Source organism: Homo sapiens, chromosome 9 (genome assembly GCF_000001405.40).
Source record: "Homo sapiens chromosome 9, GRCh38.p14 Primary Assembly".
Taxonomy (NCBI): Eukaryota; Metazoa; Chordata; class Mammalia; order Primates; family Hominidae; genus Homo; species Homo sapiens.
Window position 1 is genome coordinate 125,033,093 of NC_000009.12, and position 25,955 is coordinate 125,059,047.

A 25,955-nucleotide genomic window follows, 5' to 3' on the forward strand; every position below is an offset into this window, starting at 1 on the left:
AGTTTAGAAAAGGGACACATTGGCTACTCAGGAGGCTGAGGCGGAAAGATTGCTTGAGACCAGGGGTTTAAGTTCAGCCTGGGCAACACAGCAAGACTCCATCTCCAAAAAAAAAAATCAATTAATTAAAATGAAAAATGTTTAAGGTACATATTGGAAGGCTTGAGTAGCCAGGAAATGCTTCACAAAGAGAAAGATTTGGATAGGCAAAAGAGAAAGAAGAGATTAAGAGATTATCAGAGACAGAGATAAATAAAATATATAAGAGAAGCAACGACAATTATAAGTTAATAACACTTTGTAGCACAAGTAGGAAAACAGCCTGAATTAAATAAATGATGTATTATGGGAACTAGTAGAAAATAAGGTATAACAACAACAACAACAACAACAACAACAAAAGGTACAACAGGTAGGCTGGAGTCAGTTTATACAGTTCAAGAGCATAAAGTCTTTCTGGTCTTTCTATGTAGGTTTATTTCCCGCATTTAAAAAGTAAAGATAATAACTGCTAATGGGTACAGGGTTCTTTTGGGGATAATGAATGTTCTAAAATTGACTGTAGTGATGGGTGCACGTAACCTGTGAGGATACTAAAAACCACTGAGTTGTATACTTCCAAAAGGTAACTTGTAAGATATCTGAATATCCCAATAAAGATGTTGTTTTTAAAAAGAGTAATACAAATAAAAAAGCAATACACGATGGACTGAGCATATAATTTTATCTTCTCTTTCGAGGCTCCATACAGAAATAAAAAGAGAGGGAGGCAATCAGTAGATGAGACATTTCAAGAAACTTCTGAAAGAACATTTGATGAAGAAATATCATTATTATATGAAGAAATATCAATATTATTACTTCCCACCAATCAAAATCCTGGCGGGAAATAGACGACACACAAGTGGGTCACTGGGAAGAGTTTGACAAAGAGGCTACAAAGATGTGAACAGAGTCAAGGGAAACCAACAAGGAACACTTTAAGGACCTGTGGCTAAGTTACTATCCCTTAGGCCTGGTGCAGCAGAGGGAGGGGGCAGTTCCCAAAACTTAAGGGAGGGAGCTGGCAAAATACACATCTGTGCTCACTCTACTCCTGCCCTCCAACCTCCTGCTGACCCTTTCCATTGGTGTAGCCCAGCTGGAAGACAGAGGGCAAAGATATCAGTTGGAGCAGCCTATAAATGTTAGTCTCCCAGGGTAGGAGAAGAGGCAAAAGGTAAGATCTGGAAGGGCAAACTGAAAATGTCCAGCCTAGTGCCTTCCATATAACAGAATGAAGAAAGCTGGAACCTAGAAAACATGAGAAAGGAACTACATGTGAAAGGACTCAACCCAGAGAGGTTACAAAAGAAAAACAGGGCAGGGTACAGCAGTTCATGTCTGTAGTCCCAGCACTTTGGGAGGCCTAGGCAGGTAGACAGCTCGAGCCCAGGAGTTCAAGACCAGCCTGGACAACATGGCAAAACACAGTCTCTACAAACAAAAATAAAAAATAAAAAATAAATTTGCCAGGCGTAGTGGCACACACCTGTAGTCCCAGCTATTCAGGAGGCTGAGACGGGAGGATTCATTGAGCCCGAAGATCAAGTCTGCAGTGAGCTGTGATCATGCCACTGTACTCTAGCATGGGCAACATAGCAAGACCCTGTCTCAAAACAAACAAACCCAAAAAACAAATAGTGTAAAAAAGAGTGATCCATTTGAGTGTGAACTTAAGGATGAATTCATTTGAGATATACACTGGAACTACAGAGAAGGAAAGATCATTTCTCAACTCCTGGCTTTGCTATGTATAATATTTACATAGTTATATGTCAAAATGTTGTTTATTATCTGTTTTCAACTTTTAGAATCCATGTATAGATCAAACACAAAATATTTAACTATGATTATAGCATGGTAAATACAGTTTATGTTCTGTGAAATAAAAACATGAAGCTATAACTGACCAAAACTAAGCATGAGAAAAGAAGAGAGGCTGGGTGTGGTGGCTCAATGCTTGCAATCCCAGCACTTTGGCAGGCTGAGATGGGAGGACTGCTTGAACCCAGAAATTCAAGACCAGCCAGGGCAACAAAGTGAGATCCCTGTCTCTAGCAAAAATGAAACAATTAGCCAGGTGTGGTGGCATGCACCTGTGGTCCCAGCTACTCAGAGTCTGAGGAAGGAGAATCGTTAGAGTCCAGGAGGTCGGGACTGCAGTGAGCTGTGATCATACCACTGCGCTCCAGCCTGGGCAACAGAGTGAGACTCTATCTTAAAAAAAGAAAAAATGAAAGAAACAAAGAAACAAAGAAAACATAGAAAAGATGATGGAACTAGTGGGAATGAAAATTTACCTTACAAAATGGAATCAAAGGGATACCATCAATATGGTGTATGGATGGGTTAAAGGACTGGGTTTTGAAGTCAGACTGGCTTGGTACCACTAATTGTCTACACAATGTTATACAGAGTAAACTTTATGCCTTAGTTCCTCATTTATAAAATGGAGATAATAATAATAGAGCCTAGACCATAGGTTTGATGACAAGAGTTACTGAGTTAATACAGGTAACGACCTAAGAATACACAGCACCTAGTGAAAACACAAAAAAGTTAGATAATACTATCATCTATGATCAGCATTTAAAACGTGTGCTGCCAGTAGTTGACAATATGATTAATAAAATGAATAATGGGCCAGGCACAGTGACTCAAGCCTGCAATCCTAGCACTTTGGGAGGCCAAGGCAGGAGGATCATTTGAGGCCAGGAGTTCGAGACCAGCATGGGCAACGAAGTGAGACCTTGTCTCTACAAAAAAATTTAAAAATTAGCCAACCAGCAGCCCTCGGGGCTGCTCTGCCTACAGAGTAGCCATTCTTTTCTTTCTTTACTTCTCTAATAAACTTGTTTTTACTTTAAAAAGAAATTAGCCAGGGGCATGCTTGTAGTCCCAGCTACTATGGGGGCTGAGGCGGGATGACTGCTTCAGCCCAGGAGGTTGAGGCTGCAATAAGCCATCATTGCACCACTGCACTCCAGCCTGGGCAACAAAGGGAGCCCCTGTCTTAAAAATAAATAAATAAAATAAAATGAATAATGGGAAAACCGAGAAGAGTGGTAACGTAAATTCAGAGGGTATGGTGGGGATTAGACAGTATGTGTGGATTACTTGAAAGAGGCCTGGCACAAAGTAAGCACTAATAAATGTTAGTTGCTATTAGTATTCTTATTCCTGCTACTATTTCTATGGGGCAGGGAAAAGAGTAGCTTTTGGGTAAATGAAGTCTTCATTTATTGTGGCAGGATATCAAAGGAGAATGTATAAATTAATAAACGAAGAAAGAGTGATAAAAGTATATTTGAGAAATGAAAGTAAATGCCAGGAAAACTAAAATCAGAAAGAGTCAAAAGTGATTGCCTCTGAAAAATGAGGACTCCAGGTGAGAGGGATGTTTTAGCCAATACTACTTCATAGTGTAAGCCCTTTTATATTATTTCACCTTGTAAAACTCATGTTTTTTAAATTATGAGTTATATTTTAATTCATTTTTTGAATTGGTAATTTATATACATAGTATAAAATTCAAAGAGCACAAAAGGTATGTATAGAGTAAGTCTCCTCCACTTCTATTCCAAATAACCTAGGTCTTCATTGTGAAGACCTTTATTTACTTACAAGCATATAACTGTGCATGTATGCATATAAATATGCTGTTTTGAAAAAGAAGTTTTAAATAAATACATTAAGAAAAAAGTAGCCGGGCATGATGGCTCATGCCTGTAGTCCCAACACTTGGGGAGGCTAAGGCGGGAAGAGCACTTGAACCCAGAAGTTCAAGACCACACTGGGAAACATGGAGAGACCTTACCTCTTCAAAACATTTTTAAAAAAATTATCCAGGCAGGCCAGGTGCAGTGGCTCACGCCTGTAATCCCAGCACTTTGGGAGGCCGAGGCAGGCTGATCACCTGAGGTCAGGAGTTCGAGACCATCCTGGCCAACATGGTGAAACCCTGTCTCTACTAAAGAGACAAAAATTAGCCAGAAGTGGTGGCAGGCGCCCATAATCCCAGCTACTTGGGAGGCTGAGGCAGGAGAATTGCTTGAAACTGGGAGGCAAAAGTTGCAGTGAGCTAAGACCGCACCACTGCACTCCAGGCCTGGGCAACAAGAGCAAAACTTTGTCGATTAAAAAAAAAAAAAAATTAGCCAGGCCTGGTAGGACTACATGCCTATGGTCACAGCTCCCTGGGAGGCTGAAGGGAGAGTATCATTTGAGCCAAGGAGGTCAAGACCAGCCTGGGCAATGTAGTAAGACTCTATCCCTACAAAAAAAAAAAGAAAAGAAAAGAAAGAAGAAAAAAAAGTACAAGTTGAAAAAGAACAATCCCATGACCTAACCAATTCCATTTAATATTTTAGTGTATTTCTTGCCAGACTGTTTCCTGGTCATATTTGTTTTGTCACCTTAAATAAGGAAATTGTATTTCTGTTTCATTGGCTGTCTAAGACTATTAGTGATCTGAAAGGGTTTTATAGAAGAATTTCTTGGCCGGGTACAGTGGCTCAAGCCTGTAATATCAGCACTTTGGGAGGCCAAGGCGGGCGGATCATTTGAGGTCAGGAGTTTGAGACCAGCCTGACCAACATGGTGAAAACCCGTCTCTACTAAACATACAAAATATTAGCTGGGTCTGGTGGCGAACGCCTATAATCCCAGCTACTTGGGAGGCTGAGACAGGAGAATTGCTTGAACCTGGGAAGCGGAGGTTGCAGTGAGCCGAGATTGTGCCACTGCACTCCAGCCTGGGCGACGAGAGTGAAACTCCATCTCAGGAAAAAAAAAAGAATTACTTGTGCCCATTTTTGGGGCCATCAAAATAAGAAATAACAGGTCAGTGCAGTGGCTCATGCCTGTAATCCCAGCACTTTGAGGGGCCAAGGCGGACAGATCACTTGAGCCCGGAGTTCGAGACCAGCCTGGGCAACATGGCAAAACCCTGTCTCTACAAAAAAATACACAAATTAGCCAGACATGGTGGCACAGGCCTGTAGTGCTAGCTACTCGGGGAGCTGAGGTGGGAGGATCAATTGAGCCCAGGAGGTCAAAGCTGCAGTGAGCCAAGATTGCGCCACTGCAGTCCAACAAGACCCTACCTCAAAAAAAGAAAAGAAATAATTCAAATGAAACTGTTTCCTTTTAAAGCATCATTGAGAAAGCCACAAAACAAGGCCTATCAGTGTGGCTAGCTCAACCTGCTATGTTTTGTTAAAATGTTTTTCTTGAGATAAACTGGGTGCAGTGTACATCGGTAGTTCACCAAGCCTGTAATACCATGATATCTAATTTATGATTTCCTTTTGAGCTGCTGTTTCTTGGCCAGCAGCTGTGTGTCTCCAAATAATTTTTCCCCCAAACCAGCATGTTTTCTGAATATGTCTTCTTGATCTGCTTACCTAGATGTTTTCCAAATGCTGTAAAATGTTTTTTAAAATTTCATCTTTACTTTTTCCATTACAACTTTTCTGAATTCTCCATCAAAAATATTGGTAATTATTCAGTTGTGTCATCTTCATTCTCTTGACTTCATATTTATCATTTTCTCAGGATACTGAGAGATCATCTGCAGTTCTTCCTGAATATCACTAGCTAAATGTTTTGAAGTACTGGTAGGATCAGTCTGCAGTCACATCACCCTGAGGTGCAGCATCTTGTCTAAGTATCAGTTCTACTCTATTGTCTTTGATGTGAATTTTAATCCTGCTACTGCGTTTTTGCTTTCCTGAACATCTTTCTTGCTTTATTTAACCTTAGCCTGTTATCTCCTTATAGTTCTATGCTCTTTCACAGAAGCCATGATCTGTGGCATTTTATTACAGAAGACAATCTTCTGAAAGTTTTTTATACCCGGCCAACTGATCTTTACTCATTGGTTTCATAGCTCTCAGTATGTATACTGTGACAGTGACAATATTTCTTCCCCCTCTTACATTCGGCTTAATTTTTAGAAGTAGCAATCTGGGGCCGGGTGCAGTGGCTCACGCCTGTAATCCCAGCACTTTGGGAGGCCAAGGTGGGCAGGTCACAAGGTCAAGAGAGCAGACCATTCTGGCCAACATGGTGAAACTCCATCTCTACTAAAAATACAAAAGAATTAGCTAGGCGTGGTGGCATGCGTCTGCAGTCCCAGCCACTCGGGAGGCTGAGGCCGGAGAATCGCCTGAATCTGGGAAGTGGAGGCTGCAGTGAACCAAGATCACGCCACTGCACTCCAGCCTGGCAACAGAGCGAGACTCCATCTCAAAAAAAAAAAAAAAAAAAGAAAAGAAAAAGAAAAAGAAAGAAATAGCAATCTGGGTATCTCATAAAGCAGTAAAAATGCAGAAGGGCAGGTGCTGATTTCACCACTGGAGACTTTATCGATTAACTTTTGCTGCATAACAAGCCACTTCAAAACTTAGAAGCTTAAAACAAAAACCATGTAGTCGCTAATCATTTTATGGGTAGGCAATTAGATGTGAGTTCAGTTGGACAGTTCTGCCAGTCTCAGTCAGATCTCACTCAGGCAACTCAGACAGCTAGTGGTCTGTGGCCTCTCTCAAATGTCCAGGACCAGCTTGGGTTTATTTATATAGGGCTTGGTTACAAGGTTTTAAGACTTGCAATAGAGAAGACAAGCTCTAATGTGCATTTTTCAAGTATTTGAATTATGTCTGCAACTGTCCCACTGGCCAAAGCAAATCTATTAGCCCAACCCAGAGGCAGTATGACAGGGAACTAGTAATAAGCATGGATTCAGGGAAGGGACTCATTTTACAAACAATCTATCACAGAGACCTTATGTTTCTTTCCTTTTCAATTATGAAAATAATAAAAGTCTCTAGAAAACAAAAATACTATAAAGTATATAAAGCAAAAAGTAAAACAATGCTCTCTTGCTTCTCCTTTCAACTTTATTCCCCACAAACACCACCAATAAGAATGATTTTGGCAGGGGACTGTGGCTCACACCTATAATCCCAGCACTTTGGGAGGCTGAGGTGGGAGGATCACTTGAATCCAGGAGTTCGAGACCAACCTGGGCAACATAGGGAGAGCCCGTCTCTATAAGAAAATACAATAAATTAGCCAAGTGTGGTGGCAGGTGCCTGTGGTCCCAGCTACTTGGGTGGCTGAGGTGGGAGGATTGCTTGAACCCTGGAGGTCAAGGCTGCATGCAGTAAGCCATAATCGTGCCACTGCACTCCAGCCTGGGTGAGTTAGAGTGAGACTCTGTCTCAAGAAACAAACAAAAAAGAATGATTTCTTTCTCTGTGCACATTTAAGTATATACATGAGTTTTTCCATTATTTTACATCAATGGGATAAAACTACATATAATGTCCTGCAACATGTCTATTTAAGAATATATCGGGTTTCTTTAATACATAGAGAATTATATCAATATTTACTGTGTACAAAGTAGTATATAATGAACCAACTTATTTAATCAATATCTTCCTGATGAACATTTATATTCTTTCTACTTTTTCCCTGTTTTGTTTATTTATTTATTTATTTAGAGACAGAGTCTCACTCTGTCACCCAGGTTGGAGTGCAGTGGCACGATCTTGGCTCACCGCAACCTCTGCCTCCTGGGTTCAAGCGTTCTCCTGACTCAGCCTCCTGAGTAGATGGGATTACAGGTGCACACCACCATGTCCAATTAATTTTTTTTTTTTTTGCATTTTTAATAGAGACGGGGTTTCACCATATTGGCCAGGCTAGTCTTGAACTACTGACCTCAAGTGATCCGCCGTCTTGGCCTCTCAAAGTGCTGGGATTACAGGTGTGAGCCACCGCACCCGGCCTCCCTGTTTTAAAAATGCTGTAATAAATATCTTCATACTAATAAATTTGAATAGCTACACAATATGAATGAAAGGTCAATTTCTGTAGGTGGAAGTGAAGAGTGAAAAAAGATCTGCATTTTTGTACCAGATGTTAAGTTAATGGATAAGAAAGCAAAATATTTTCCTACCTGAAATTTTCAGGCACAATAGCAAGAATTAGCAAGTTTAAAACTGCATTTTAAAAATCCATTTCCATTTTCCTTATAAGCTGAAATTCATTTCAGATTACAGAAATAGGTTAACTGTGGATATTAGTTTCCCACATTTATTGTAAGTTTTCATCTTTTTTATGTCTCCACGGATCTCTAATGAGAGGTTACATCAGGAAGACCTAATCAGATGTTTTTAAATGTAAGTTGCTGCTAGAAACTTTCTCTTATGAAGCTGCTGCTGTTAGGAAGATTGTATTATTATGTACAAGCATTTGTCAGCAACACCAACTTTGTGACAACTGACAATTATTGTGTTTCATTAAGGATACTATCTAAAGTCTTTAGGCAATTTTTCAAGTAAGCACTTGCCTGCAAGTTCCTTTGAGTTTCCAAAACTGATAAAATTAATAAATCTCAGTAATACATCCTGTTAAGGGAGAAAACAGAACTAGAAGCCAGTGTTTTATTTCAGGTGTCAAGTAAAAAGGGTTATAAAGGAACAGGACTTCGTACGCAGGCTAAAAGTACATAAAAAGTGATCTAAAATGCTATACTAGGGCTCCTAACAGTAAGCTGTAATATATAAATATTTTCTGATTTATAGCTATGAACAACATTGGCTAACTTCTATACTATTTTCCTCAAAAGAATTTAGAACATCTACTATTCCAGTCTAAATCAGTTATAAAGACACCAGTTTCTTTTTCAAAATAGGGTTTAAATTTTTTAAAATTTGTCCATAGGAAAACTCCTATGATCATCCTTTTTCTAATGAGACATATCACAGAAGTTAATATACGAACCACTATATGATCAGCATCTAAAATTAACTAAGGTACTCTATGAAGAGTTTCAAAAAAAACTCCTCTACTACTCAGAGCTTGACTCTGATTTTAAACTCTGAATATATCATTTGGTCATTATTACTGTCAGCAAAGATGGGAAATTAATGGTCCATAGAATTAAATTAAATAGGGCTCTGAATTACCCCATAATTTAAGTGACCTTATATTTCACATTTTGCAAAGGCAGCTATGTTATGAATTAGCTAATCATATTCTTTTTTCCAAGATTTTGGAGGAAAGTAAAAGTATGACACTAATCTCTCTTTATTGAAATCCTCAGTTCTATCAGTAGAACTCAGGAGACTATGGTAGGAAGAAATGCAGTGCAAATAATTAAACCTGATTATCAGGGATGTTTCAAATATAACGTTGAGATATCAAAACTCAGGAAATCTCTGTAAATTTCCTGTAAATCCCCCATCTTTACTAAACTGAATTAGCTAAGATCATTGATCCCTACGTACACCTAAAATCCAAGTCCAAGGGGCATCTTTCAGTCCCTTCTTTATCAGTCCTCTCTATGGCATTACACTGTTCACCACTTTCTCACCATCTTGTAACTCTTTTTTCTGTCCTTACAATCTCTTCCATTAACTTCTCTTTCCTTAGTCCAGTCCCTAAATGCATGGCTTCCACCAGAGTATGTGTGTGTGTGTGTGTGTACACACACACACACACACACACACACACACACATATACAAAAAGAAACATACATACAGGAAGTTACTTAGGAATTATGGCCAGTAAGCTGTAGAGCTATGATTCAAATTCAAACCTTCTACCTCCTAATCCAATGCTCTTTTCCACCATATGGAATAACCACCTAGATTTTGTACGCAAGTAAAGTTGTTAGTTCTTTTCTGGGACCACATTCTGCTCCCTGGCTTTTTTTTTTTTTTTTTTTTTTTTTTTTTTGACAGAGTCTCACTTCACCCAGGCTGGAGTGCAGTGGCATGATCTTGGCTCACTGCAACCTCCACCTCCCAGGTTCAAGCGATTCTCATGCCTCAGCTTCCTGAGTAGCTGGGATTATGGGCATTTGCCACCATGCCTGGCTAATTGCTTTGTATTTTTAGTAGAGATGAGGTTTCGCCATGTTGGCCAGGCTGGTCTTGAACTCCTGACGTCAAGTGATCCACCTGCCCTGGCTTCCCAAAGTGCTGGAATTACAGGCGTGAGCCACTGTGCCTGGCCTGCTCCCTGGCTCTTAGGATGCTGCTGACCTCCAACAAAGCTGTGGTCAAAGGCAAAGGAATAAGCCAACTTCTCTGAATCAGGTTTTCAGTCAAAGAGCACACTGTCCGACTCACATATTCTTGTTTAAACACAGAGGACTATATTACTGGGACATCTTTGTTCCAAACCATGTTTCTGTGTTCATGTGTATACGAGACCAAACTGCATTTGAGACTTCAAAGCCCAGTTGAGCATTTCCTTGTTTAGCACCAGTATTTGCTTTTACCCATTGGTAGACCCAGTGGTTTTTTGTTGTTCTTTGTTTTTAAAGACATGGTCTCACTCTATTCCTCCAGGCCGGTGTGCAATGACATGATCATAGCTCACTGCAGCCTCAAACTCCTGGGCTCAAGCAATTCTCCTGCCTCAGCCTCCTGAGTAGCTGGGACTACAGGTGCATGGCACCACACTCAGCTAATATTTTTGTTTGAGACAGGGTCTCACTCTGTTGTCCAAGCTGGAGTACAGTGGTGCGATCTCCACTCACTGCAACCTCTCCCTCCCAGGTTCAAGCGATTCTCACGCCTTAGCCTCTCAAGTAGCTGGGATTATGATGGTGGTGGCAGCCCATCTGGAGCAGCTGCTGCAGGGATGCCGACTGCAGTGGGGAAGTTGTGGCCAGGGCTGCATGCTCCACAGAATGGGTGGAGGCCAGGAACAGGTGGAAGCCGGGCCACCTACTGAGTTGGAGGGGTGGGAGCCCAGCGCTCCTGGGTGCAGCTGCAGCTACCCAGCTGCAGCTTTGGACCCATGCTTCCCTGTGTTCTCAGGGTCTTAAGAAGCTCCCTGCCCCCACATGCTTGAAAGTACCTGCTCCTGCTCCCTGGCCTCTCCCAGCTCCTGGCACCCACTCTGGGGTGGAGCAAAGTTGTGGCCAAGCCTGGGACCTGTCACAACTGACTGGGTGTGCTCATGACGGCACTGATTCACAAGCCCCCTGCTGCCTCAGCCCTCTCCAGACTTTGGGTAATGACGAGCATGGGAGGCGGGCCTGGGGGGATAAGGCTGCCAGTTCTGGTTGAAGTCCATGGCCCAGAGTGAGAACTCGAGGTGCTTTTTCCAGGCCCATCCGTGGCCTCCCATGGACCAATCAGCACACACTTCCACCATTCAGAGCACAAAATAACCCCAGACAGCCAGACTCATACCCTCTGTGGGATGACATGCCTACAGAAAGGAGCTACCCACTCCTTTCTGCTGAGAGCTGGACACTTGCTGGGATGATCCACCTGCAGGAAGGAGCAACTACTACAGGTCTCCTCTCTGCTAAGAGCTGGACACTTGCCTGGACAACCTGCTTGCAGAAAGGAGCTACCTACTAGGGGTCTCCTGAGAGCTCTTCTGTCACTGAATGAAGCTCCTCTCCACCTTGTTCACCCTCCAGTTGTCCACATACCTCATTCTTCCTGGGCGCAGGACAAGAACTCAGGACCTGGCAAATTCTGGTACTCAAAAAATGGTAACACAAACAGGGCTGAAACATGCCCCCTTGCTCGCCACGTTGTAGGCAATGAGAAGGAAAGAGCTGAGGCCCTTTGGGAGTTCAGACCTATGGGCTCCCTGAGCCAGGGTTGTGACATCCTCTTTGGGGCTTGTGGTTCCTGGCATCTCCAAGCTTCTGGGCACCACCACCATGTTCCCCTCGTCCAGATGTGGGTGCCTGCAGTGGAAGCTGCTTGAGGCACATCTAATCCAGCTGCAACCTTGCATGGCGCCAGTGCCTGGAGATGCCTGCCCCACCACGGCAGCTAGCTTGCTTGGCTGTGCACAGTGGCCAGACCCCATGCCCATTCGCTAACACACCCCTCGCTGCTCCATACCTGGCCTACCCTTGGCAGGTGTGGGATCTGAGCCAGTAGCATAAGTCAAGCACAACCTGCCAGGCTGAGTAGCGGGAACAAGCCCAGTGAGCCCAAGCAAAACTCGGGCAAAGGTGCCACTAGCCACAGAGGTTTCTGGCTGGAAAAATAACACCCTAAGGATCCTGTGACATTTTTAGACATGCACCACCATGCCTGGCTAATTTTTGTGTTTTTAGTAGAGATGGGGTTTCGCCATGTTGGCCAGGATGATCTCAAACTCCTGGCCTCAAGTGATCTGCCTACCTCAGCCTCCCAAAGTGCTGGGATTATAGGCATGAGCCACTGCATCTGGCCAGCTAATTTTTAAAATTTTCTATAGAGATGAGGTCTCACTGTGTTGCTCAGGCTGGTCTTGAACTCCTGGCTTCAAGCAATCCTCTCACCTCAACCTCTTGAGCAGCTGGACTACAGGCATGCACTACCACACCCAGCTATATTTTTTATTTTGTAGACGGGGTCTCACTTTGTTGCCCAGGCTGGTCTTAAATTCCTGAGCTCAGGCAATCCTCTGGCCTTGGCCTCCCAAAGTGCTGGAATTACAGGCATGAGTCGCTGTGCCTGGCCTGCCTCTATTCTTAGAGTCAAACATTCGTCTGTGTTTGGAATCCTTACTCCTAAATTGAGGAAAAACTTCTCGGAAGTAGCACTTCTCAAATTATAATCTATCACATTAACATAGGCTATGACTTTAACTGGCAAAGCTTTGTTTTTCTCATCTGTAGAACCAAAATAATAGACACTAATGACATTGTTTTGAGGATTTAATGAATTCTTCAGGGTTCTTAACATATCTTTTTAATTTTCTCTCTATACCCCTCCTGAAGAATCTTAAAAACTAACCACTATTGAATGTGGTTAAAAGTGAACACTTTTACACTGCTGGTGGGAATGTAAACTAGTACAACCACTATGGAAAACAGTGTGGAGATTCCTTAAATGACTAAAAGTAAAACTACCATTTGATCCAGCAATCCCACTACTGGGTATCTACCCAGAGGAAAAGAAGTCATTTATATAAAAAAGATACCTGCACACACATGGTTATAATGGCACAATTTGCAATTGCAAAAATATGGAACCAGCCCAAGTGCCCATCAATCAACAAGTGAATAAAGAAATTGTGAGATATATATATATATATATATATATATATGCACACACACATATATATACATATATATACACATATATACACACACACATATATATATTTCATTCCTTTTATGGCCTATCTCATATATATATACACACACACACACACATATATATATGTGTGTGTGTGTATATATATATGAGATAGGCCATAAAAGGAATGAAATAATGGCATTTGCAGCAACCTGGAAGGAATTGGAGACCATTATTCTAAGTTAAGTAACTCACGAATGGAAAACCAAACATCATGTGTTCTCAGTCATAGGTGGAAGCTAAAGTATGAGGATACAAAGACATAAGAATGACACATGGACTTTTGGGACTCTCACGATAGGGTAGGAGGGGCGTGAGGAACAAGACTACACATTGGGTACAGTGTATATTGCTTGGGTGATGGGTGCATCAAAATCTCATAAATCACTACTAAAGAACTTATTCATGTAACCAAACACACCTGTTCCCCAAAAAACTACTGAAATTTAAAAAAAAAAAAAAACTAACTACAACTACCTCTCCCCTAACCAATTCCCGATCCAGCTTCTACCAGCAACTTTAAAGGGGAAGATGCTCTATGTTTCTAGTAAGACCTGACAAGATCTTAGAGGGAGCTAACATATAAGACCTGGTTATATGGACTTTGATAGAATATATTATATTATAATAGAATATATTCATCTATTTTATTGTTTAATATTTTAGCATAGCATTTAAATAGCTAATTTTCTAGATTCTGGGGAAATGGTGACAGCATAGTATTGAATCTATTCAGATACCTTCCCAACACAGGCAGAACAAACAGATAATAAAGCAAAACCCACTGGTAACATTTCAATAAAACCAAGGGTTATGGGCTGAATTGTTATTCCCAAAACTCGTACATTCAACCTCTAACTCCCAGTATCTCAGAATTTCACTGTATCTGGAGATAGGGCCTTTAAAGAGGTAATTAAAAAGAAGCCTTTAGGGAAGGTTTTAATACAATATGAGTTGCGTCCTTAGAAGAAGACATTAGGACATACAAAGAGGCGCCAGGGCACAAATGCATGCAAAGATGACCATGTGAGGGCACAGGAAGGAGGCATCCATCTGCAATCCAAGGAGAGAGGGCTCAGAACAAACTGAACCTGCTGACACCTTGATCTTGGACTTCCGGCCTCCAGAACTGTGAGAAAATGCATTTCTGTTGTTTAAGCTACTCAGTCTATGGCACCTTGTTATGGCAGCCATAGCAAACTGATACAGTAATATGGTAACCATCAAATCCCAGGTGGTTGGAGACAAATTACCAACAGCCAAAAGACCTGCAAGCTATTAGCATCTATGTTGGAGGAGACAAAGAAAGCAAAACTGGGAACACCTCATGGACCAGTGAAGAAGACAACCCCAAAATAGCCAATATGGATTCACGAGAAAGCACAGTCAGCCATTATGAGAACAGAAACTAAAACTGGGAGGAATTTTGCCTGAGCAAACAGCCACACATGGCTACTAAGCACTTGAATGTAGTTAATCTGAACTGAAATGTATGTAAGTATAAAATACTCACTGTGTTTCAAAGACTTAGTATAAAAAACAATGTAAAATATCACTAATATTTCTCTATCGATTTATGATGAAGTAGAATATTTTTTATTTATTGGATCAAATATTATTAAAATTAATTTCACTTGTTTCTTTTTATTTTTTAATGTGGCTAGAAAATTTAAAATAACATTTGTGGCTTATATTAAATTTCTATTAGTCATTGATTTTCTTTTCTTTTGTTTTTTTTTGAGATGGAATTTCACTCTTGTTGCCCAGGCTGGAATGCAATGGCGTGATCTCGGCTCACTGCAACCTCTGCTGCTCAGGTTCAAGCAATTCTCCTGCCTCAGACTCTCAAGTAGCTGGGACTACAGGCATGTGCCACCATGCCCAGCTAATTTTGTATTTTTAGTAGAGATGGGGTTTCACCATGTTGGTCAGGCTGGGCTCAAATTCCTAACCTCAAGTGATCCACACACCTCAGCCTCCCAAAGTGCTGGGATTACAGGCAAGAGCCACTATGCCCAGCCTAGTCAATCAATGATGTTCAAGAGCATGTGATCAAGATACCTACTGTACTCTGGTGGCAGTCTACCTCAAAGGCAAGTCCAATTCTTCTGGTGGTAAGCCATATAAAATGACAGCCTATATCACAAGCTTGTACAGACAGTTTAGGGTATAATCTCTAAAATAACATGGTTATTTATTTCAATAACAATAAACTTGCCATTACCAGTTTGCAGAACTAGCCTCTAAGAGAATATTAATTTTCTGAAGAAGGAGAAGGAGAAGAGGGAGGAAAGAAGAAAAGAGAAGAAGAAGAAGAAAAGGGCAGGGGAGGGGAAGAAGGGGTCAATGGAACAAACTGTTAATTTCTCAGTTGTCCATTTTAGGAAAAAGGGAATCCTAAAAACAGGCTTCTAAAGGAAGCATTATAGAAACTTTCTTAAGTTGAATACTGGGAGCATATTTATTTATTTATTTATTTATTTAATTTTATTTTTATTTTATTTTTGGAGATGGAGTTTCGCTCTTGTTGCCCAGGCTGGAGGCAATGGCGTGATCTCGGCTCACCACAACATCCGCCTCCCAGGTTCAAGCGATTCTCCTTCCTCAGCCTCCCAAGTAGCTGGGATTACAGGCATGTGACACCACGCCCGGCTAATTTTGTATTTTTAGTAGAGATGGGGTTTCTCCATGTTGGTCAGACTGGTCTCAAACTCCTGACCTCAGGTGATCTGCCTGCCTCAGCCTCCCAAAGTGCTGGGATTACAGGCGTGAGCCACCGCACCTGGCTAGGAGCATATTTAATAAAAATAATTTCTGTAATTATTTTCATTTAAGACTAGTACACTTCACTTTGGGGCACCTCCCAATTAAAAATATACATATACACACACACTCACACAATATATACTATTATATGTACTATAATAATAATATTATATATACTATCAGTGGCCTCCCAAGCCTTCTTTGGCTTTGTGTATTTGCTCCTCTGTAGTCAAATAATTAGTGACTTGGAGGCCTCTGCTTTTGCAAAACACTGCAAGTTAGGGATATCACTGATAGACACAGCTGTGTTTCTCAAATACATGTCTCGAGATGCTGCCTTATATAATCTCACTAAGTATTCCATTCTGCTTCGACAGTCTTAGTCACCATGGCAACCAGAACCCTGCAAGCACTTGGGCTTTTGATCATTTTCTGACAGTATTCAAAGCTTTTTCTAACATTATTCTCACTTCATTATTATTGCAACTACATGCAAGAGCCATTATATGCGAAACATCATTCATTTCATCCAATTCTTATTTTTCTGGATTATGTTTTCTTACACAGTGAGTGGAAATAAGAGATAAACTATTATGCACATATTATAAGAAGGTATTTTCAGTTGAGAAAAATACTCCATTAAGATATTCACAGCTGGGAAAATGAAAGGCTCTGACAACTTAGATGAACAGCTTAATATAATGTGGAAAGACACACCTCCAAGCGTAAAAAGAGAATCTATTATATCCCAAATGAGACATGATACAAAAATCTGAAACCTTTCATGCACTGAAATGCCCTTTTTCACTCTGCTCATAATGAGTTAAAAAGTCCAAGTAACAGGGAACACAACAGGGGAGGTTTCTGAGGTGCTGTGTGTGCTACTTCTTCATCTGAATACAAGTCACATGGATGTATTCAGTTTCTTAAAAACACACTTACAGCATGTGCACTTTTCCGCAGTCAATTATACTTCAGTAATAAGTTTAAGACACAGTACATGAATTGAAGAAAGCAAGCAAAAAGAAAAACATGTTACAACATGTGGAAAAGGAGAAAAAAAAAAAGACAAGCACTAACAGTGAAAAAAATGCTAGAGGGAAAGGGCTTAATATTAAAAACTGACACTATTCCAGCTGGATCCCACTTCATTCCATTTCCCCAAATGCCAATGCTGGTCCAGACCACTACCAATACATTTCTTCTTCTCTATAAGGGCCATAGACCTACTCAGACCAATTTAAATAAGGGGGTGGAGGTGGGCGCAGGGGGATAGCAACCAAAAAAACCTTATAATTATTCCAAAATAAATCTTGTCCCTTTCTCAAGAAATGCTCATAAAGCAACATCAACACTCGAAAGAAAAGAGGTTTCTGATTAACAAAACTCAAAGATCTTCTTTACGCAGGAAACAGGGAGAGTAGTGTAGACAAGAATGCCAATACACACCTCCAACCCACCACCACAGGGAACTTTAAGGAAGGCCTACAAAACTGATAAAGACAGCCCTTTATAATCAAGGTCTAATATTGAACAAAGAACACTTTTTTCTCTTTTCTTTTTATAAAAGGGACAAGGTCTCACTGCATTGCCCAGGCTGGAGTACAGTGGCATAACATAGCTCATTGCAGCTTCAAACCCCCGGGTTCAAGTGACCCTCCCACCTCAGCCTCCCAAGTTGCTGGGACTAAAGGCACACACCACCACACCCAGCTAATTTTTAAATTTTTGGTAGATGGAGTCTTCCTATGTCGCCAGGCTGGTCTAGAGCTCTTGGCTTCAAGTGATTCTCCTGCCTTCGCCTCCCAAAGTGCTGGGATTACAGGTATCAGCCACTGCTCCTGGAGATACTTTCATTTATATAAACAAAAAAAAGAAAACAATACGGCTGCTATACTGGACAACCACATCTCTCTCAAACAAAAATCCAAAAGCATTCAGAGAAGATATATAGTTTGCTCACCACAGACCTATTTTTGTATAAATAATTATGGCTTATTTATTTATTTATTTACTTAGAGACAGAGTCTTGCTCTGTCACCCAGGCTGGAGTGCAGTGGTGTGATCGCAGCTCACTGCAACATCCGCCTCCCAGCTTCAAGCGATTCTCCTGTCTCAGCCTCCCGAGTAGCTGAGATTACAGGTGTGTGCCACCACGCCTGGCTAATTTTTGTATTTTTAGTAGAGATGGGGTTTCACCATGTTGGCCAGGCTGGTCTCGAACTCCTGACCTCAGGTGATCTGCCTGCCTCAGCCTCCCAAAGTGCTGGGATTACAGGCGTGAGCTACCATGCCCAGCCAATTATATCTTATTTAAATTGAAGAGGGTCACTCAATAAAACACTGAAAATATATCTGTGGTATATTTGCTTATCCACTCTTCCAGGTGACAGATCAAAATTTATCATTATTAGTATTGTAAAATTTTAAAACAGCACCTTAGAAAGATACGACTCTATACCTGGGATATAAGATTTATATTTCAAAATAGCTCAAAGAGCAGATTTAAAATGTTCCCAACACAAATAAATGATAAATGTTTGAAGTGATGGATATCCCAAATCCATAATGTGATCATTACAATGGTATGTATGTATCAAAATATCACATGTACCCCATACATATGTAAAATTATTATGTATCAATGTTTAAAAAGAAAAAATGAAAAATATGCAATAATCAAAACAATTGGAAATGTTTTTCTGATTTAAAAAATAACATAAAACTAACATTCCACTCCATACACAAAAATTAACTCAAAATGGGCTGGGAATGGTGGCTCATGCCTGTAATCCCAGAACTTTGGGAGGCCAAGGCAGGCGGATCACTTGAGGTTAGGAGTTCAAGACCAGCCTGGCCAACATGGTGAAATCCCGTTTCTACTAAAACAAATACAGTGTGGTGGCACCAACTACTAGGGAGGCTGAGGCAGGAGAACTGCTTGAACCCGGGAGGCAGAGGCTGCACTGAGCCGAGATCATGCCACTGCACTCCAGCCTGGGTGACAAAGCAAGGCTCCATCTCAAAAAAATTAATTAAAATAAAAAGAACTCAAAATGGATCACAGACCTAAATGTAAGAGCTAAAAGTATAAAACTCTTAGAAAAAAACACGGGAGTACATTTTAATGACCTTAAGTTAGGCAATGATTTCTTAGATACAATACCAAAAGTACAAGCAATGAAAGAAAAGAATGATAAGTTTAACTTTATTAAAATTAAAAACATTTGTGCTTCAAAGGATATCATTAAGAAAGTAAAAGACATGCCGGTTTGCGGTGGCTCACGCCTGTAATCCCAGCACTTTGGGAGGTCGAGGCGGGTGGATCACCTGAGGTCAGGAGTTCTAGACCAGCCTGGCCAACATGGTGAAATCCCGTTTCTACTAAAAATACAAAAATTAGCCGGGCATGGTGACAGGCACCTGTAATCCCAGCTACTCGGGGTAGGGGGGCGGTGGGTGCCGAGGCAGGAGAATCGCTTGGAGGCAGGAGAATCGCTTGGAGGCAGGAGAATCACTTGAACCCAGGAGGCGGAGGTTGCAGTGAGCAAGATCGCACCATCACACTCCAGCCTGGGGGACAAGAGCAAAACTTCATCTCAAAAAAAAGAAAGAAAGAAAGTAAAAGACAATCCACAGAATAAGAGAATATATATTTGCAAATCATACATCTTACAAGGGACTTGTATCCAGAATATATAAACAATTATAAATTAATAATTTTAAAAATAATTCAATTTTTTAACTGGTCAAAGAATTAGAACAGATACTTTCCCAAAGAAGAAACAGAAATCGCTAACAAGCACATAAAAAGATGCCCAACATTAGGGAAATTCAAATCAAAACCACCAAGAGACACCATTTACATCCAGTAGCATGTCTATAATCAAAAAGACAGAAAATAGTAAGTGTTGATGAGAATGAGGAGAAACTAGAACACATTACTGGTGATGAGGCCACTTTGGAAAACAGTTTGGCAGGTCCTCAAAAGGTTAAACACAGAATTACTATATGACCCAGGAATTCTACTCCTTGGTATATGGCCAAGAGAATCGTAATCCCAGCACTTTGGGAGGCCGAAGCAGGTGGATCACCTGAGGTCAGGAGTTCAAGACCAGCCTGGCCAACATAGTGAAACCTGTCTCTACCAAAAATACAAAAATTACTTGGGCGTGGTGTTAGGCACCTGTAATTTCAGCTATTCGGGAGGCTGAGGCAGGAAAATTGCTTGAACCCAGGAGGCGGAGGTTGCAGTAAGCCAAAATCGTGTCATTGCACTCCAGCCCGGACGACAAGAGCAACACTCTGTCTCAAAAAAAAGGAAAACCTACGCTCACATAAAAACTTGTATACAAATGTTCACAGGACTATTATTCTTGATAGCCAAAAAACTCAAATGTCTATCAACTGATGACTGGACAAATTGTGATAAATCCTTACAATGGAATATTAATCACTAATAAAAGTAGTGATATGTGCTATAACACAGATGAACCTCAAAAACATTATGTTAACAAAAGATGTCCATGATAGAAGACCACATATTGTATGATTCCAATTAATTAATATATAAAATATCCAAAATAGGTAAATCCATAGAGAAAAAAATTAGATTGGTGGTTGTCAGGGGTTAGGATTTGGAAGAATGTAGAATCACTGCTAATAGGAACCGGATTTCTTTTGGGGGTGATTAAAATGATCTAAAATTAAACCGTACTAACAGCTGCACAACTCTGCAAACATACCAAACTTTTCAACTGTAAACTTTGAATGGGCAAATTTTATTGTATATAAATATAGCTCCATAAAACTGTCTCAAAAAAATGGGGTCCGAGCTATTATAACTATGTCAGTGTTTTAAGTTTGAGAGCCCATGTGCCAGAAGTTACACAAGGGATTTAAATGCAAGCTTTTAAATGCCTTCCTACCTTTAAATCTATAATCCCTTTAAGATTTTGTTTTTATTTTTTGGTTAAGGGTCTTGCTCTGTCACCCAGGCTGGAGTGCAGTGGTGTGATCACAGTTCACTGAAGCCTCGATCTCCTGGGCTTGAGCAATCCTCTCACCTCAGTCTCCCGAGCAGCTGTGACTTGAGGCACTCACCACCATATCCAGCTAATTTTTTCATGTTTTGTAGAGACGAGGTTTCACCATGTTGCCCAGGCTGATCTCAAACTCCTGGGCTCAAGTGATCCTCCCACCTCAGCCTCCCGAAGTGCTGGGATTATGGGCGTGAGCCACTGCGCCTGGCCTCTTCTAACTTTTTACTTACTTAATTTCAATAGGCACACAGATATGTGTTCCTATCTGTGAAATAGGTTCACTGGATGTGCTAAAGCTGAGGCTTGCTGTGAGCAGAAGTTTGCCTTGGGTTTTGTTTTTTTATAATTTCCTCATAGAGTAATTGAGGGCAGGGACTGTTAGCTTTATCTCTGAATTTTCGTACCCAATACAGAATATGGTACATACTGGGTGCCAATTAAATGTTGAAGAAAAAAAATATACCTGGAAGGCAAAGAGAAAAAAAAAAAGTCTAAGTATGCAAATTTAAGAGGTTTAAAATAATCTATTGCAGGAAAATAAAAGATTTAAACCCCAGGCATACCAAGGAAAACTTCTGAATTAAAATAGTGAAAGAAAATATTCTTTAAAAAGACACAATTAATTTATAAAGCCAAAGAAAAACATGATCTCAAACATCTCCTCTGCAGCATAAAATAGGAAGCAGAAGAGTGCAAGAGTTAAGAATACTGCCTTTGGAATCTTCCATTTAACAAATATTCACAAAGCCTTTACAATGTGCAAGACATGGGCTTAAAAACTAGAGAAACAGTGACAAACAGGGGCCTGCTCTTAGGGACATTTCATTTTAATGCGGGAGAGACATAATAAGCAAGTAAATAATATTAAGAGTGGTGAGTGTCATGAAGCAAATCAAATGAATATAGGAAAAAGAGAATGATTAAAAGGGCAGCTTTAGACAGAATGGTATTTGAAAAATTCACATAATTTTTTTAAAAGATAAATTATCTGGTTTAAAAATAAACCCTGCCAGTATACGTCCAAACCTGGGGATGTATAATACAATTGTAAAATGTAAGATAAAAAGATTTCATTTTTATCCATAAATAAACCATAATTTAAAATAACTTAGTATCTTTACAATCACTCCTTCCTATGTAAATTTTCAAAAATAAAACCTGTTTATCCCTAGAATTTTACCTATTGTATGAATTTTCTTCTAACTGGTACTAAGCTAATGAAGCTTTAGGTCTGAAGTCAGTGAATATCCTAAGACTCTCAAGAACTGAAATACAGGTTAAATCATAAATAGCATGGTTTATAACACCTCATCATTACTTTTTCCACCCACCCCCCACCATCACCACCCCAATCTGGTAGACAAAGGTAACCATCATTACTTTAGGCACAGACATTTCATCCCAGAAAACAAAGAAAGAAAGAATAAAAGAAACAAGCAAGTAAACAAATTACAAAAATGCAATAGGAGGCTCCACATTCAATTGCATATGCATTTTTAGGCTCCTCAGACCTCAACACCCTAATGTGCAAAACCAGATTAAAATCAGATCTGGTGTGAGTTATGTATACAAAACCATTTCACAAAATAGCTCTTTTTAAGTTGACTAAAACAGTGTAAGTTATCCTCTTTTCCTATTGTTTTTTTATCCAAGAATTTTAAAAATGATGTCAAAGAAAAAATCATGATCACTCTAATACAGAAATTTATATGACATTCTACCCATAATTTTCGGAAACTTACCACACATCAGCCAGAAAAAAAACAAATGCAGAACTAAAGAAAAGTTCAAAACACCAAGAGTCCACTCACCTTAACCCATTGAACAGTTGCTTAGATTTATCCAGAAGATAACAAAAATCTGTAACTGTTTTCCTCTCTCCCTGTGGGATATCATCTTCAGCACCTCCAGAGGACATGATTTCTTTAAGAGCAAATTCAGTCCTGTAAGAAAACATATGTTCATTCATGCAGGAGGTAAAAATAAAAATAGAAAAAAACCTTAGTTATATCATCTGATAGTATTTTTTATCCAAGACAGATATAGAATTCTTCTGATTACAATCAAATCACAAAAATATAATTTAAGTGTAAGATACTGTAAGAAAACAGATCATCTCAGTCGGGCGCAGTGGCTTACACCTGTAATCCCAGCACTTTGGGAGGCCGAGGTGGATGGATCACCTGAGGTCAGGAGTTCAAGACCAGCCTGGCCAACATGGAGAAAGCTTGTCTCTACTAAAAATACAAAAATTAGCCGGGCGTGGTGGTGGGCACCTGTAGTCCCAGCTACTCAGGAGGCTGAGGAAGCAGAATTGCTTGACCCAGGGAGGCGGAGGTTGCAGTGAGCCGAGACGTGCCATTGCACTCCAGCCTGGGTGACAGAGCGAGACACCATCTCAAAAAACAAAGAAAAAAAGAAAGAAAATAGATCATCTCCTATCATTGGTATGGATGAAAATTGGAACCATATTAGAAAGCAATTTTTATAATATCCTTTCCTCTAATAAATATTATTTGAATGCCTGTTATGTTCTAGGCATTCCTCTACATGGTTAACAATCTAAAAATATTGATTTATTTGTCCATTTGATCCACTCTATAAATCCTTCTGGAAAATGATCCCACAAATGGGAAAACACTTTATCCGTGTATTTATTTTAGTATCATAACATTTAAAAATTGAAAACAACCTAAAGGCCCCAAAGACTAAAATGGTTAGGAATACTGACCACTGCACTCTACCCAATCACTAACTTACAACTCTGTTTAAGAAGGTGAGGCAATGGTATGAGTACACTTCAGTATAAAAGGGATATAAAATCACACACACACATATACATACACACACACGTACACACACAGACGTATATTAAAACTATATTGAAACTATCTCCACTTGTAATAAATTTCATAAAGCTGCCATGTAAAAACAGAAAACAACAGTAAGTTGTCAGACAGTATGTACAATACAAACCTAAATTTTAAAAACTGATTTGTGTTTACACACAGACAGAAATTCCTGGAACAACAGGAAAATTTGGTCCTGGTGTAGGATGTAAAAATAGGCAGACAAAATATAGTCACTGAAATAATGTGATACAATTGGTGAAATAATGAATTTTAATAGATGGACTGAAGAACAGAAAGGATACAGTTGAACAAATAAATAAGCTAAAATATCAGATTTGGGGTACTCTGCCAAAAGACAGTAGAAAGAGATTAAATATATAAAAGAAAAAGCAAGAGATAAGATAGAGAAATGAGGGAAATCAACTGCCACACAATAGCTTACACAGGAGGAGAGAAAAACACAAATGAGAGTGAAGAAATATTTGCAGAAATAATGACTAAATTTCCCAGAATTAGAGAAAATGTAACACCTAAAATTGAAAGGACTCAAAGAATGTCAAAATAATCCCACAGCTAGAACCATTAAAGTAAAACTTAGGAAATCAGAATTCTCTTCCCTTCCTGAAAAATTCACTCTTATAGCCACCAAGTGGGTATCCACATCACAGGGTACCTGCATGGTTGTCGGAATATAAGCTACGTGAGGAGGCCATTCGCAGGCAGAGCCAGCTTGCACAGGATGTTGAAGGCCGAGTGTGGAGGAGGAGGAGGGCACCCATGAGGGTGGAGGACTGGCAGGGAAAGTAGGAGCCTGAGCACCTCCACATAGAAGGGTTCAAAGCAGCAATGGGAGATTTGCTATATAAAGAGGGAAGGATCAAATAAGATCTATTAAGGGCAGATGCAGTGGCTCACGCCTGTAATCCCAGCACTTTGGGAGGCAGAAGCAGGAGGATCACTTGAGGCTAGGAGTTTGAGACCTGCCTGGGCAATACAGTGAGATCTTGTCTCTACAAAAAATGTAAAAATTAGCCAGATGTGGTGGCAGGTGCCTACTCAGCTACCTCAGATACTCAGGAGGCTGAGGCAGGAGAGTCGACTGAGGCCAGCAGTTCAAGGGTGCAGAGAGCTATGATCCCTCCACTGCACTTCAGCCTGAGTGACAGAATGAGACCCCATTTCTTTAAAAAAAAAAAATTCTTTTTTAAAAAAGATTTATTAAAGGCAATGGGACCCAGAGTTCTCACTTGGCAGAGAAGGGAGATGCAAATATGGAAATGGAAGAAGTTAGAATGAACTCTGTGGATTGAAACTGGGCCAGGTACAGTGGCTCATGCCTGTAATCCCAGCACTCTGGGAGGCCAAGGTGGGTGGATCATTTGAGGTCAGGAGTTTGAGACCAGCCTGGGCAACATGGTGAAACCCATCTCCACCAAAAAATACAAAAATTAGCCCAGCATGGTGGGGTGTGCCTGCAGTCCCCAGCTACTAGGAAGGCTGAGGCAGGAGAATCACGTGAACCCGGGAGGCGGAGGTTGAGGTGAGCTGAGATCATGCCACTGTACTTCAGCCTGGGCGACAGAACGAGACTGCGTTTCAAAAAAAATAAACTGTAAGTATGAGTGAACTCATGGATTTCTGAAGACATGGACATACATGCATGGTGTGTGTGTCTACATAAGCACACACAGATGCATACTCCCTAGCTCTGTAATTCTATCTACTGAGAGCGCCTTGGAGCAGTGATCATCTTCCCTCCCCAGTGGTATGAACGTTTCTAGCACCTAACACTTGGCCCCTAATACCATTCTCCAATAAAAGGAACCAGACATCTCTGGAGAATTGTAATTCACTAATTACAGCACAGGGGTAGAAAAAGTACAGGATCAATCTGGAATATCTTGTGGTAGTAAGCAAGAAAGTGCTCAAGGAATGCTAAAGAATGTCAAAAAGACATAGGATCAAGCTTGAAGGAGATCCCACTGGCCAAACAGGGTAATTTCAGCATCAATACCAATAGTAATAGCAATGGATTATAACCTACTGAACAAAATAAGAAATCATGAATCAATATAGATATAAATAAATGAGTGAATAAATGGAAAGTGTGGTAGTGAATGGGATAGTTTCA

At 40.3% G+C, this 25,955-nt stretch overlaps 1 protein-coding gene across 6 annotated transcripts in view, besides 2 other annotated features; it reads right to left on the bottom strand.

Annotated features, from left to right (window-relative positions):
• The window catches only part of SCAI (suppressor of cancer cell invasion), a 200,921-nt gene that overhangs the window by 90,485 nt on the left and 84,481 nt on the right, over positions 1–25,955 (bottom strand). For all 6 annotated transcript variants that reach the window (XR_007061282.1, XR_007061281.1, XR_007061283.1 and 3 more), the window contains one exon: positions 22,784–22,915. Coding sequence is in view for 2 of the 6 variants with exons in the window: in NM_001144877.3 (NP_001138349.1) it covers positions 22,784–22,915 (132 nt within the window). In the remaining 4 variants the exon portion in view is untranslated. The remainder of the gene's footprint in view (positions 1–22,783; positions 22,916–25,955) is intronic.
• Positions 10,820–11,332: an enhancer, noted in NCBI's record as "H3K27ac-H3K4me1 hESC enhancer chr9:127806191-127806703 (GRCh37/hg19 assembly coordinates)". NCBI's record gives its function as "activates a minimal SCP1, AML or CMV promoter by ChIP-STARR-seq in primed H9 embryonic stem cells {active_cell/tissue: H9 hESC(primed)}" and the evidence as "EXISTENCE:reporter gene assay evidence [ECO:0000049][PMID:30033119]".
• Positions 11,333–11,846: an enhancer, noted in NCBI's record as "H3K4me1 hESC enhancer chr9:127806704-127807217 (GRCh37/hg19 assembly coordinates)". NCBI's record gives its function as "activates a minimal SCP1, AML or CMV promoter by ChIP-STARR-seq in naive and primed H9 embryonic stem cells {active_cell/tissue: H9 hESC(naive and primed)}" and the evidence as "EXISTENCE:reporter gene assay evidence [ECO:0000049][PMID:30033119]".